We start from the raw sequence: 14,904 nt of genomic DNA on the forward strand, positions 1-14,904 counted from the left end.
AGGAAAGAAAATGTAATCTGAAACCATGGCAATAAAAAGAGGTTAAAAAAAAAAATAAGCTAGCCCTAAGAAACTGTTGAAAAATAAGAAAAAAGAGGTTCTTGGGGAGGCAAAAGAAGTGTCAGGGCACTTCTCAGAGCCAAGAGGCCTTCTGATGGATTTATCCCACCACAAAGACCCAACTTCACTGCTGCTTCCTGTCTAAATCCTGGCTTCCCAGAGCAAAGCTTGACCTAGTAATGAGTGGTTATACTGAAACAGTTAAGGCAGTTTAACTACCAGCAGACAGTAGACGCACAGCTTTTCACTGGAGTTGCTGACCCACAAGAACACAGGGAATGAAAGGCAAGAAGCAACTCTAGCAGATAGGGCTCTTTTGCATGATGGAGTTGGTCCATTCAGGCAATTCTAAAAGTTGTTCTTTTATCAATTAAAACCATAGGGGTTTCTGTATAATGCTTTACACCAGACCTGCCAAGATCATTCACACTTATTTTGCAGTATCCATTTGTTCTCTGGACTTCCCATGGTTGTAGAGCTAGCTAATAGATGGGGTCTGTGTATTTTAATTTAAAACAGCCCTGTCTTAGGTCTGACTCCCCAGAAGCTGACTCTGAGACAAAGATTGCACCGTGCAAGTAGTTTTTTAATGAAATGCTCCTAGGAAAGACTAGTACACTTGAGGAGGAGCAGAACAGGGATAGGGAAAATGCCAATCAACAGAATGATTTCAGGCCCAGGCTGTGGAGAATGGCTTCAGCCTGATCCCACAAGGGCTGGAAACAAAAGTACATCAAAGCCCGGAAAGGTGCACAGATATTGTAAACGGGATTGTGGGGGCCTGAGTAGATAACTGATGGTGTCAACTAAAGGCCCTTTAAGCAGACATGACATAGCCACCGGGAATTTAAAGCTTGGTGATCAGTCTGATGTGAAATATAAGCCAATCCTAAATTTTAAATTGCCCTGTGCCTTCCCTTGTGCCAAACAATTTTTAAACTTTTCAATAAGTTTAATCCTATGTTTAGTTTATTCATAATGTTATTCATATCTGCTGGCCATGACCCATAAACCCATGACCTGGGATATAACTTCCCTTTATAATGAGCTGCTGAACCCATGATAATTATAAACACATTTTTAAAAACACATGGACATATACACACACCTATGTATTATATAGTCAATCAAGTAAAGTACAAAATTAAACTGCGCATTTGCTATCACAGGTAAAACCAATAGTTAATTAAATGCTCTTTTTTCTTTTTATAACCAGCATTAACGAGTTGTGACATTTTCCAGCCCAGGCTTAACAAGATTATTGGTCTTAATAGAACTTAAACTGGGAAAAGGAACCTGTAAAACATGCTTACCAGTGCTCACATACATCAGGGAACTACTGACTTTTATCAGATATCCATCAGACCCCACCCAGTATTTCTCCCAGGGACAAGAATAAGTTTGGTTCTTTGTTGTTCAAGATCCTATAAATGCCTATAGTGGAGTCTTTTCACCTTTATTCAGTTCTTTACTTCAACCTCCAGGCGAGCCCTATTCACATATAGGTCTTCACTCTGGCACACCTGGGAGACAGAAACATATATAACTGCCATTCTCATTATATATACTATTATATCCCATTATATATGTATGTTTTATATCCCATTATATACAACATATGCTTTATATATGTAGTATATGTACTATATATGTAATATGTATATGTAATATATAATTATATATGTTTATGTAATATATATGTATGTAATATATACATAGATATATGTATGTAATATATACATAGTAGGAAAACAGTATACCTACTACGTGAGCAATGTTGAATACCAGACCATCTCTAGAAATTGGAATGGATTGATACTTAGTTTACTATTTTTTAATTTTTCTCTTCTATCCCAGGACTCCATGTTCAATGTGATCTAGCCAAGGGTAGCACTTACTATCATGGAATACATTGTTTTCAACAGAATCACATTTTGTCCAAGTGATTTTTGAACAGCAGAAATAATGATAAAGCTCTCTTAGAGAAGCAAACTAAAACTGTTTTGAGACATACAACTTCTAGTCCAAGAAAGGCAAAGTAAAGTAAAGAAGATAGTCACGAAGGTCTAGAGTGATCTTTCATGAATACCAACTATATCATATGTCAGGCTCCAATCCTTCATTTCTATGTGGTTTTCTAAAACAAAAAAAGCACAATACCTAATGCTTACTTAAGTCTCTTTAATCTAGAAGCACAAGTATCAATGCAATTTCACAATGCAAAGGCATTTTTATTTTTCAGGTGGTAAGAACCAGCAATTTAACAGCTTTGTCTGAAGCATAATGAACATTTAGTTGCTGAAATTCATAGAAACTCTTTGTGTTTTAACTAAAAGAAAAAGATGATACAGGAAAGAAAGTTATCCAAAGTTTGTCAGCCAACTCTGAATTTCAGTTTTCACAGCGGCAAGGAGGGAAGAGGATTAATTTGAGTCAGAAGCAATTAGTGCCAAGCACTTCAGTAATATTATAACACAAAAGGATAAATAAAATAACAAAGCCAAGATTAGAAAGTTACAAACCACACTATTCAGTTCACAGAGCTGAAGATACTTATAAGAGTGAGAACTTACTGTTCTTCAGAGATTCCGAGTCTCATTTTCAAATAGTCTACAAGCTGAATGATACAGGCAAGAGACATATTCTTTATCTGTCAAATATATTCTCATTTTTTGAGGTGATGTTATGAGGAAATGAAAGCCAAGGGGTGCAAGTAGTTTTATTTATTTATTTTTTTAGAGACCGTCTCTTGCTCTCACCCAGGCTGGACTGCAGTGGACTCAAGCAATCCTCCTGCCTCAGCCTACTGGCCAGCTGAGACTACAGGCAACATCATGCTTGACTTTTTTTTTTTTTTTTTGGTACAGTTGGGGGTCTTACTGTGTTGCCCAGGTTGGTCTCAAACTCCTGGCCACAAGTGATCCTCCTGCCCCAGCCTTCCAAAGTATTGGGATTACAGGCATGAACCAATGCGGCTGGCCACAAGTAGTTTTAATTTCCCTTCATGCTACTGAGGATTTGGGTGACTGCCATACCTATGTTTTCTCTTCTCTGCATAGGTAAGAAATACTGTCAAAGTTAATGGTGGAGAGGAAAGGAGGTCTTCATGACATTCCTTGGCTTCTCCCTTCACTTTCAGGCCTGAAAACAACTAATTCAGCCTAAGAATGCATCTGTCTGCTAATTCACTTTGAAGAAGTTGCAAGACAGAAAAGGTATTATAATGAAATTATTTAAAAAGGTATTTATAATTAAATAGTATATTTTTAGATTCGAAAAAAATACTGACCACTGACTGGAAACCAAGGCATTTTATCTAAATAGGGTTTGTTTTAAAAATGAAGCTATGTTTTAATATAAGGTTTAATCAACCAATTATAATTTACAACCTAATTAATTAATTGCTTCATTTTCTTCCTTGGTGGGGACACTCATAGGATTATTTTCAAGTAGTATTATCATGTGACTCGAAGATCTATAATTTATACCACATTGGTATTTATTAAATAGAATAAGCAATGTTCCCGCAACTATTTTCAACGTATGTTAAAAACTGTTAATTCAAAAAAAAAAGAAAAATAAAAGAATGCACAAGAAAATGAGCCATGATCTCTACTTCCACAAAACTTGTAAATATAATGAATGGACACCCAGTATTGGTAACATACAAATGAAATGGCATAGGAATTTATAAAGGAGAAAGAGAGAATGAGAGTGATTTTTGACTGGTGGAAAGAAGGAAGACTTAAATGGAAAACAGTTTTAAAGCTCAGACTTGAGAATTAGGTAGGACCATAAAAAAAATGGAAGGAGTGGTGTGAGGCACATACAACAGGGCAATTACACGTGAAAATAGATGGAATGTAAAAGATATAGAGGCAAGAAAGCATTTTCAGCCAAATGGGGGTTTTGTGATTTATCTGGAACATTAAGTAGGAGTGGGTGATAAACATAAAAAGGTAGTTTTAAGATAAGCTCACCAAACATCTTGAGTATAATTTTGAATGGGTGGAAAATGGCATCATGGACAGTCTTTAGAAGGTGTGATCCAACCTTCATCTGGAAAGGCAGTTAAATAGGGAAGAATGAAAAAACACACACAGGGATCTCTTCTGTATGGCAAGGATCCAGGCAGCACTTAATGGGTGTAGAAAAGCAAAAGATGATCTGACAGGATGATTGAGATTACAAAGAAGAAGTATTAAATGGAATTAATATTTACTGATTTACAATGCTACCTTAAAGGAAACTACTACTTTATAGAATACCTATAGCAAACACATTTCTAATAATTCATAAGCGGTTGAATCATTTATCATAGGAGATAATCATTAGAGTCTTAGAGAAACGCATCCTGCAAATAAATGCTGATGTTTTCATCATTTTCAAAGACGGTATCTATAAAGATATACTTAGCTTGATACATACATGGGTAAAATTATACACATATATCTCATTTCTGATTTATTTTCAGAGTTCTAGACTTAAAATAGTGTTTCAAAAAGGTAAGGATAAGCAGTAGATCATAGGTTACATGCATGTAGCTTTTAGCCTAATGAGTGAAAAATCCACAGTAATAATTTTAGAAAACATAGAAGCATTTTAAAACTTGTTCATTAAAAAAATTTAGGAAAAATTGCTGTCAAGCAGTACAAAACATATTCCCAACTGGAACATCATATGTGAGTAAACCATATTATTGGACTGTAATTGAATTTAATGACTGACAGTGAAGCAATATCTTTGTTCAAAACTGAAGAAAGTGAGCTTTCTGCCCAACAGACAAAAGGCTAGAGTCTCAAAAAATATCTGTCGACTTGGATACTGAGAGAAAAAAATGACTCAAGATTTCAAGCATAAATTTATGTCTGAAGTTATTTTTACTTTAAACCACAAATTAGGTACTGTGACTTAAATAATAAAGGAAATAAATATCTGAGGACTTGATATGGGAATGCTAATTTCTAACACAAAACACCCAATGAGTTTCACGACATATGTTCTCATGACCTCTCAGGTAATTACCAAAATTAATCTTATTTACTCAATTTTTAAATGATTCCAGAGAAGTTCACCATTCCCTTATGATCAGAAAAATGTTACATTGGGATCATCTCCATGCCTGAGCTGAATGGAACAACTAGGTGTCTTTAGGTCTCCCTGCCATGTTTGAAACTGCTTCCGATGTTGCAATTATAAAAATGGCTGAAGAGATTTCCACTAAAACAGTAGTGACTTCCAAATAAACTTCAAATCACCTATTTTTAAATGTGAATCTGGTATCACCTATAAACTTTTCTACAGGAGGTTACCAAAATGCAAATGCCGTTTCTCATTGCAGACTAACTTTGTTACAGACTGACATCCAGTCCTCTCGGCAAACAGAGGGGAAGCCATTTGATCAATTTGGCTGAACTATTTTTTGTATATGTGAGGATAACAAAGTTGAAAAAGGATTCCAGAAAGATCTTTTGAGGGATAAATCAAAATCATAGTGTTTGTTTGGCAAATACCAAATACTGAACACATACTACTGCATGAATGAATGAGGTGTGGTATAAAGAAATAAAAACATTAAACGTAAATAATTTCTATTTTATACTTTACTTTTAAAATAAAAATTTTTCCTAAGTTGCCAAAACACTTTTTCCAAAGTTTGCATAGGAGACAATTTCTCCAGGTGAATAGTAATAGCTACTATTATTGAAAATCTGCCATGAGCTAATCCTTTTGCTGACTATAATCGTGATCCATAGTATAAACATGGAGTTTGGTGTTATTCTTCCTGTTTAACAGATGAGGAAAATCATGCCTGGAGAGGTTATTTCCTTAAAAGCACTAGGATATGTAGGATAAATAAGCTGATAAGAAGTTACTTTAGTTGAAAGAAAATAGAATAGTCTGAAGATTTAAAAATCTCCAAGAAGCCACTTGTATTTTGATAAATATATGTGACCCTTCCTTCCTCCCTCCCTACCTATGGAGACTGGACTGCACTGGCAGAGGACACTCCTGTTGTAGGCATGTGAACCAGAGCAAGTCCATCATCTTGAATATGAGCTGGGTAAAATGATGTTGAGACCTACTGGGCTGCATTCCCAGATGGTTAAGGCATTCTAAATCACAGGATGAGACAGGTGGTCTGCTCGGGATACAGGTCATAAAGACCTTGCTGATAAAACAGACTGCAGTAAAGAAGCCGGCTAAAACGAAAACCAAGATGGCCACGAGAATGACCTCTGGTTGTCCTCACTGCTACACTCCCACCAGTGCCATAACGGTTTACAAATGCCATGACAATGTCAGGAATTTACCCTATATGGTCTAAATAGGGGAGGCATGAATAATCCAGCCCCTGTTTAGCATAATAAAGAAATAACCATAAAAATGGGCAACCAGCAGCCCTCAGGGCAGCTCTGTCTATGGAGTAGCCGTTCTTTCATTCCTCTACTTTCTTAATAAACTTGCTTTCACTTTATGAACTTGCCCTGAATTTTTTTGTTGCACGAGATCCAAGAACCCTCTCTTGGGGTCTGAATCAGGACCCCTTTGTTGTAATACTCCCATTATTAGTGATAGTTTTATTGAACAGCATTGAAGAGATGAGCAATTTGTGTTATAGCCACCAGAAAGGTTAAACGATGCCTCTCAATAACATCTGAAAACCCCAGAACAAGACCACACTCATTCATACTAGTCTTAATTAAAACAAGAAAAAAACAGCTTTTAGCCTTATCACTCCATATTGCTGATTCTGCCACTACTCATGCAGAACATCAAGTTGGCCTATTCATGATTTAGTCTTGAATGCAAATTTAAAGCTGATATCATAAGATATTTGAAGGAAGCTTTCAAAATACAAGACAGACCTAACAAAACAAAAAAACACACAGAGAGAGAGGAAATACAGAGGAAACGAGCAGTGCAGGTAACAAAAAAATAAGATAACAGTGTATTCATAAAAATAGAAAAGGATGCTGATGAATATCCAAAAGAAAAAAAGCTCTGAGAAATTATAAATATGAGAGTATATACATAAAAATAGGTTTTAAAGATAAACTTGAGATTCTCAAATTTAAAAATAATAAGTCAAAGGGATGAATAGATTAAAAGATAATGAAATTAAAGATTAATTCTAGAGAGCTGTCTTCTGATTAATGAAAATTCAAGAAAAAAAAAATCCTGACAAAATTTGCATGGAAAGTTGTGGTAGAAGCCTATGGAACACTTACTATTTTAATAATACTCCTAATGAATAATTCATAATAAAAATAATGTTCTTTTTTCAAGGAGGTTTTTATTTTTCACTATGCATGTGAATCACTTTAATAACAATTAAAAATTATTTGAAACTTCACAATTTTAGAAAACAAGGTTGAATCCATATACTCCACTTGATGGGGCACCAAATTATTTAGAAAGTCATACCTGTGACCAGTTCCTCAAAAGATTTCTTCCTTTATAAAGCAGATGTTAAACCATAGGCCAGGACAGATCTGAATTCTTCCTGCTGACTCATTTGCATGAATGAAGTAAAACAGTCAAAACTCCAGCTAATGAGGCCATTTGTGCAAATTCATTAGCATGAACACTTCCAATTGATTAGCACAAAGTGTTACAGGGAAACCTCAGGAGTAAAAAGTAACACAAGATTGTAGGCTGCTGTCCCAAGATGGAGAAAATCCCTGGGGATGAGGCACTGGAGCGTTAAGCATATGGCCTCCTTTGCTAATAAAAGTCTAAAAAGAAACAGCTACCAGAGCAACTTCTTCACTTTTATAAGGTTGCTAGAAGTGAAATCATCTAAGGAAAGCAAATTTTAGTGCTAATTATTTGTAAAATGTTACCATTATTTAATAAATGATCACCACACTTCTCTTGCTCACAAACACCCAAAGATGCCCTGCTCTGTGCCATGCAGGTAACTTTTTCGTTAGTGATAAAGACATCGTCACCCTTTGAGATGATTTTAGCAGTCCCGCCCCCTGGAAGCTTGAGCTGATCAGTTGATACCTTGGTGGTGAGGTGCTCCAATTAATAGTACTCAGACTTCCCTACATGTCTCCAACTGGAGCACTTTCCCCAACATTGTCATCATCCAGTCATTTGGTCTTTACTCTCCATATTTTATGTTCAGAGAGAATAAAGCACGTGTATTAGTCCATTCTCCTACTGCTATGAAGAAATACCCGAGACTGGGTAATTTATAAAGAAAAAGGTGTAATTGACTTACAGTTCCACATGGCTAGGGAGGCCTCACAATCATGGCTGAAGGTGAAGGGGGAGCAAAGGCAGGTCTTAATGGCTGCAGGCAAGAGAGCGTGTGCAGGGGAATTCCCATTTATAAAACTATCAGCTCTCCTGGGACTTATTCACTACCAGGAGAACAGTATGGGGGAAACTGCCCCCATGATTCAATTATCTCCATGTGGCCCCACCCTTGACACCTGGGGATTATTATAATTCAAGGTGAGATTTGGGTGGGGACACAGCCAAACCATATCAGAACGTGACTATCTTTTCCATTGTTCTACCCAAAGCTAGTTGTGGACAATCTAGCACATATTGGCCAGCGTGCAAATATTGATGAAAATAATAAATGAATGGGCACATAGAACTCTTATTTTACGGGAAATGCAGTGATGGAGACCCAAGTACTAGCGCAGGGTTAGTAGCAAAACCAAGAGTAGAATTTAGGTCTCCTGTTTCCCTGCATTTTCTTTTTTTTTTTTTTTTTTTTTTTTTTGAGACGGAGTCTTGCTCTGTCGCCCAGGCCGGACTGCGGACTGCAGTGGCGCAATCTCGGCTCACTGCAAGCTCCGCTTCCCGGGTTCACGCCATTCTCCTGCCTCAGCCTCCCGAGTAGCTGGGACTACAGGCGCCCGCCACCGCGCCCGGCTAATTTTTTTGTATTTTTAGTAGAGACGGGGTTTCACCTTGTTAGCCAGGATGGTCTCGATCTCCTAACCTCATGATCCACCCGCCTCGGCCTCCCAAAGTGCTGGGATTACAGGCGTGAGCCACCGCGCCCGGCCTCCCTGCATTTTCTAAAGTACAAACAGAACTCGGCCCACATGCAGGAACCACTAAAATGAAATTATAAGCTACTTTAAAAACCTTCTCATCCACTAATCCTAAACCTCCAGATAAAAAGATCTGTTTACTGTTTAGACAAAACCCAGTCATACCCCCTCTTGCTTCTTTTATGCCTCTGTCCATATCAGGAAACTTCACCTTTATAACTACCCCAAACTTACTATCATTCAGAGTCCAGCTTAAATTTCATCAAGTTTATTTACCAAAATAAAATGAAATTAAAATAATGAACACTGTATATGTACCAAGCCATATAGGAGACAAGAAGACGCATAATAAATGGCCTCTCTTAAAGAGGTATGTGATTTAACTAGGCTATTAAAAGGTTGATTAATATCTAGTGTTGCTAAGAAGGTGAGGCAACAGCTCTCCTTATATAATGCTGGAAGATATGCACATTAGTGCGACAGTTCTGTTTTGTACTGGAGGAAGGGAATTTGGCAATGTCTTTGGAAGTTAAAAGTGTGTCCCTTCAGACCCAGCAATTCTGCTTCTGGTAACATCATATTCTCCTATCCTTAGGTACATTAATGATGCCTTAATAGTTTTTGTAAGAGTCCAAAACTGGTAAAAGAAGTATCCATCTATAGATATTGGTTACATAAGTTATGTTACATCTGTACAGTTTATATTTTATTTGTAAAAAAATAATGAGCTAGTTCTCTATAAGGTAATATATAATAACTCTAAACAAGTGACAACTGCAAAGTGCAGAACAATATGTCTAATATGATTACATTTGTTTTAAAAATATACATTTGTATGCCCTTATATACATTAAAATTATGAAAGTATAACAAAAAAAGTACAAGTAGTAATCAATTTTAAATCTATGGATACTTAGCTAGTTGATGGAAAGGTGGTGGGAGTCATGGGAGATTAAATGAGAGTGGTATTTTATTCTGTCCTTGTAAATAGGGTTTCAGTAGGCAGGGATGGTAGAAGGATTGTGGGCATAAGGTGGACTATGCTTCCCAGCACATGGTAGGGAGGCATAGCCACGCAATTAGTTCTGGCTAATGAAATAGGAGTAGAAGTAGCTTATCTCAACTCCAGGCTGAGGCAGTGAAAAGCCCCCATATAATTCAGTTCAATTATAGAGAAGGACTTGTGTTGAGTTGGTGAAACAAGAATGAAGCAAGCGAGATTGCCGAGTAACTGCAAGCAGAACTGCTGCTTTGGTAAGCCTCCTGAATCCTGAAGAGTGAAAAATACACTTTCACTACATAAAAACACTCAGATTTAAGGGTGTTTATTACTGTAGGCAAACGTAGCCTAATAAAGATAATACCAATAGAGGGAATAAGATTGTAGGGAAAGGTTTTAGATATGGAGACCTATGTTTTTAACAGAGAGTCTGCTCTGTGTGTAGAAGCAGAGATGGAGGAGATGCTTCAAAAGTGTCCTAGAGCTCAGAAACAAATGAAATTGACTGCCAATGTGAAGAAAGACATTCGCTTTGTTTGGATTAACAAGGCGCTGAAAATTTTTGGTTTTTGGTTTTTAAGCTGGGAAGTGACATGATTGAAGTTTAGGAATTTCTATTATGTAGGAAGATTAGTTTGGCAGTGCTATGCTAAGAGGAATACTTAGTTTTGGAAATGAAAGAGGAGTAATCAGCAAAGAACACAGAAAAGAGTAAGAGAAAAGTAAGAGTATTTTGTGTTCCAGAGGCCACAGACAAAGGCTGAAGAAGGAAAGGATGGTTCCCAATGTGAAATTTAAGGAGGTGAAATGAGGTGAGGCCTGAGAATAGCGGTTCTGGTGATGAGCAGATGAACTTAGAGAAGGTAATTAGTAGAATAAGGTGGAAGGAAACTAGGTTGTAAGAGTCTGAGTGAACAGTGAGTAGGTGGTAAGGAAATGGGGTCAGCTGCTATAGGAAACTCTCCAAAGAAATATGCAAGGGAAGAGAAGAGAAGGAGAGAAATGGGAACAGCTTGAGGACAATTTTTAAAAGTTAAGGAAAGGCTAGTTTTATGTTTATTTATTTGGCTGTTTGTTTATGTATGAAAGATAATGAAATATTTGTGGACAAAGAGGAGCCAGGTCAGGAGAACAGAACACTAGAGGATGGTGAAGAAAGTTGCCTTGGGCATACCTCTGACACTAGAGAGAGGCATGAGAATGAAAGATTCTGAAGTGTAGAAGGGAGAACTTAAATGGAAATTACACTTTGTCCTAACACTTCTTAGTAGAAGAAATGAAAGGCATGTATGGAGGATGAGTATTCATCGGAGTATAAAGGCTGCAAGAGGATCTAGAAATGAGATCATTGGAGGGGGGCTGTGTGGGACTTGGGGATATTTAATTTCTAGGAACAGACAGGGAGTTGGGAAGGAAGACACACAAGATATGTGAGCCCCACTGAAGGTAAAGATACCAAAAGAAAGGATTTGTATTGGACTCAGTATAAATGTTGAGCAACCCTCCTGAGTTAGGCACAGCAGCAGCTTGGGGACAGAGTGAAGAAATCAGAAAATAAGGGTAAGAAGAGTAAGACAGAATGTGAATCATACCGTGCCTATCGTTAAATTTTCTAAAATCCTGACCACACGCAGGACCTCGTGTAGGGAACTAAGTGTGTGCCTATTATAGGAGACAGGCCAAGCAACAGAAAGAATGGTAGAAAGACAGAGGTGGCGTAAGCTAGTTAATGAAGCTTTTCCTAATCACACTAACTAAAAGGGATCTCTGCCTCTTCAGGAATCTTTCAGCATTTTTGTCTGACTGATTCCCATGGCATTTATGACTTCTTCATGCCTCAGTTTCCTTATCTGTAAAATGGAGATGACAATAGCAACCAACTGTAGGGTTAACATGAAGATTAGTTGTTAAATATCTCATTTATTCATCACTACCATCTGGTGAGTGATCATTAGTTGTAAGGATATGGATGAGGACATTGAAAGATTCTTACCCTGATCTTTAATGATTTCTTAAAACATTTGAACATAAAATACTTCATAAAACAGCCCACCTCTAATCCACACTATCCATTTGATTAATCAAATGCAAAATAATCCATGAACACAGGAAAACCACGTAATGCACATCTTAAAACGTGCAGACTGTGCTGGTATTCTCTGTTGGCCACCTCCTTCCACTCTGACTTTCTCTTGTGTCCTCTTTTACCTAGGGGACTCAGTCTATGGCTCTACCATCTGCATTCTTTCCACCTGACTTCTGCGGCACAAATAGGAGAACTGAGGGACTGAGATGAGAGAAGTCAGAGAACATATTCTCCAAACACTCAAACCTTTCTGAGAGTAGCTGCTTCTAAGATGATACTCAAATCATGCAGCCTGTCCCACACAGCCCTTGCTTTTCTGGGCTCCAGCAACAGTACCTCTCACCCTTCTGCCTTCAGGACAATGGGTGGTAATGATGCCACCTCTGGGTGCCTTGACATGACATATTCATTCCTGTAGCCGTCCTCTCACCTCTGAGCATAACCCATTTATTAACTCTCCTCCACTAAATGCTTTGAGTAGATTTTCTTTTTCTTATTAGTGCCCTGACTGATCCACAGAATGTATATGAAATACTATACATTTGATGTACAAAATGGAACACCATTAATATATTTTAGATCCATAGGTGACTTTAGACTGCATTTGATATAGATGAAGAAACTGAGTCCTAAAAAAGTAAATTGTCTCTAAGCCTGCAAGACTAATAAGAAGAGAACAGAGAAAGGCCAGGTCTCCTAACTCCCAGAACAGATGACCTGTGCTCTGTCATGCAGTCTCCCACAAGGGGACCTGAACTGAAAAACAAAAGGTTTGGATTATAGGAAGCCATCTGCAAGACAGTGACTGTGGCTTCTATTAAATAAATTCCACCATCAGACCTTTCCACCCCATTGTCAGAACAGCCCTGCCATCTCTCTCTGTGGAGGTAATTAGGATTTAACCTCCATGCTGGAGGCAGAAAGCTGCTAGCTTTCAAAAAGAGATGTTACTTAAGGGTCAAAACTATTTTCTTCTGATCAATTCTGCTGCAAATGGATGAAGTTCTTACATCTGCTTCTTGTTTGGGGGCAGTGGGATATCCTATTCTCTCTCCCTCTCTTGTGTACTCACAGCAAATCATATATTATCAGGCAAGTTAAGGAATGCAGTCTCCTAATAACAATTCCTCACTTCTGAGGCACTTACAGAGTAGACAATTTATTTAACACTAATCATAATTAACTTTCTAAGTGTGTTCTGTTCTCAAAATTATTCTTAAAATTGATGGTGTGTACAGTAATCAATGGCATCTCAAATACAAATATATATAGATACACATACAAATATATATATAGAAAAACTAATACGATATTAATTTCATCTATAATAAAAAATGATGGATCTTTATTGTTTAGTTGGGGAAAGTTTGCATTAATGACTTAACGTCATCCTCCAATAACTGTAAGTGGCATTTATTTTTATTGTCATTTAATGTATGATAAAACTGAATCATATTGAAATTAATAAAACCAGCCCAAGCTAGCACAGCTAGTAAATGCAGAAGTTCCAGTGTGAATCTAGACCATTCTATATATAACAAGTGTATACTCTTTGTATTTTTCTACTGCTCTATCATTATCATTATCAAGTTTATCCACAGAGAATAATTATATTGATGAGGCCAAACAATGTCCTCTGCCAATCATTTCTTTCCAGTCCCCATATCTTCTTGGAAAACTACCCCATCCTTTGGTTCTTGAAGAGACCTCACCAGTGTCTCTCCTGGAAATGTATATCTGTGTTTTGCAGATACTGGTTTAGGTTCTGTTAGTTCTTGGATGAAAGCATCCTGGGGAAGCTTAGGCTGCAGCCCAGCATGCATGTTGGGACAGGAAAAGCTAGTAAGAGAGACAGAGGAGGACAACTGCACATCTCCAGAGAGAAGCAGAGATGAGAGACCACTGAATTATGGAGAGAAGAGAGTAAGCCATGTCCCTGATAGCTTTCTGGTCCCATCCTTTTAAGATGCTTAATTATCTTTCCTACTTTTGAGTTTTCATGAGATGTCCCCTTATTCTTCCCGTAATTTATATAATCAAATCTGAATTTTATTGTGTTACCTTTAGCCAAATAACCGTAATGAAAAGATGTAATTCTTTTTCTTCTTTTTTTTTTGTTTTTTTTTTTTGAGTCTTGCTGTCGCCCAGACAGGAGTGCAGTGGCATGATCTCAGCTCACTGTAACCTCCACCTCCTGGGATTAAGTGATTCTCCTGCCTCAGCCTCCTGAGTAGCTGGGATTACAGGCAGGTGCCACCACACTTGGCTAATTTTTTGTGGTTTTAGTAGAGATGGAGTTTCACCATGTTACCCAGGATGGTCTCAATCTCCTGACCTCATGATCCGCCCACCTTGGCCTCCTAAAGTGCTGGGATTACAGGCGTGAGCCACTGCGCCCAGCCCTAAATTTTTTTCTGTTAATTATGTATGTCTTTCAGGATTGTCGTTAGTAAAATTTCTTGTTAGCTACTAAACCATAAGCATTAAGGTAGTATCAGATAACTAAAAATGTAGAATTTGCAGATGGCAGTTAAAAATATGAACTCTGTATTTAGATTACCTGTGTTTAAACCTTTGCATCAGTATAATATCAAACAAGTTATTTTTACCTATTCTGCTTCTACTTCCTCTGCTGTATAATATGAAAAATAAAGAATTTACCTAAAACAGTTGCTATGAAAATAAATTAATACGTGGAAAGCAGTCACCAAAATTTCTGACTTATACAAAGAGTT

The 14,904-nt window shown here is 37.4% G+C and overlaps 1 protein-coding gene across 17 annotated transcripts in view; it reads right to left on the minus strand.

Moving 5' to 3' along the window:
* The window catches only part of ZNF385D (zinc finger protein 385D), a 960,546-nt gene that overhangs the window by 181,520 nt on the left and 764,122 nt on the right, over positions 1-14,904 (minus strand). The gene's annotated exons all lie outside the window — the stretch shown is intronic.

Source organism: Homo sapiens, chromosome 3 (genome assembly GCF_000001405.40).
Source record: "Homo sapiens chromosome 3, GRCh38.p14 Primary Assembly".
In the NCBI taxonomy this organism is placed as follows: Eukaryota; Metazoa; Chordata; class Mammalia; order Primates; family Hominidae; genus Homo; species Homo sapiens.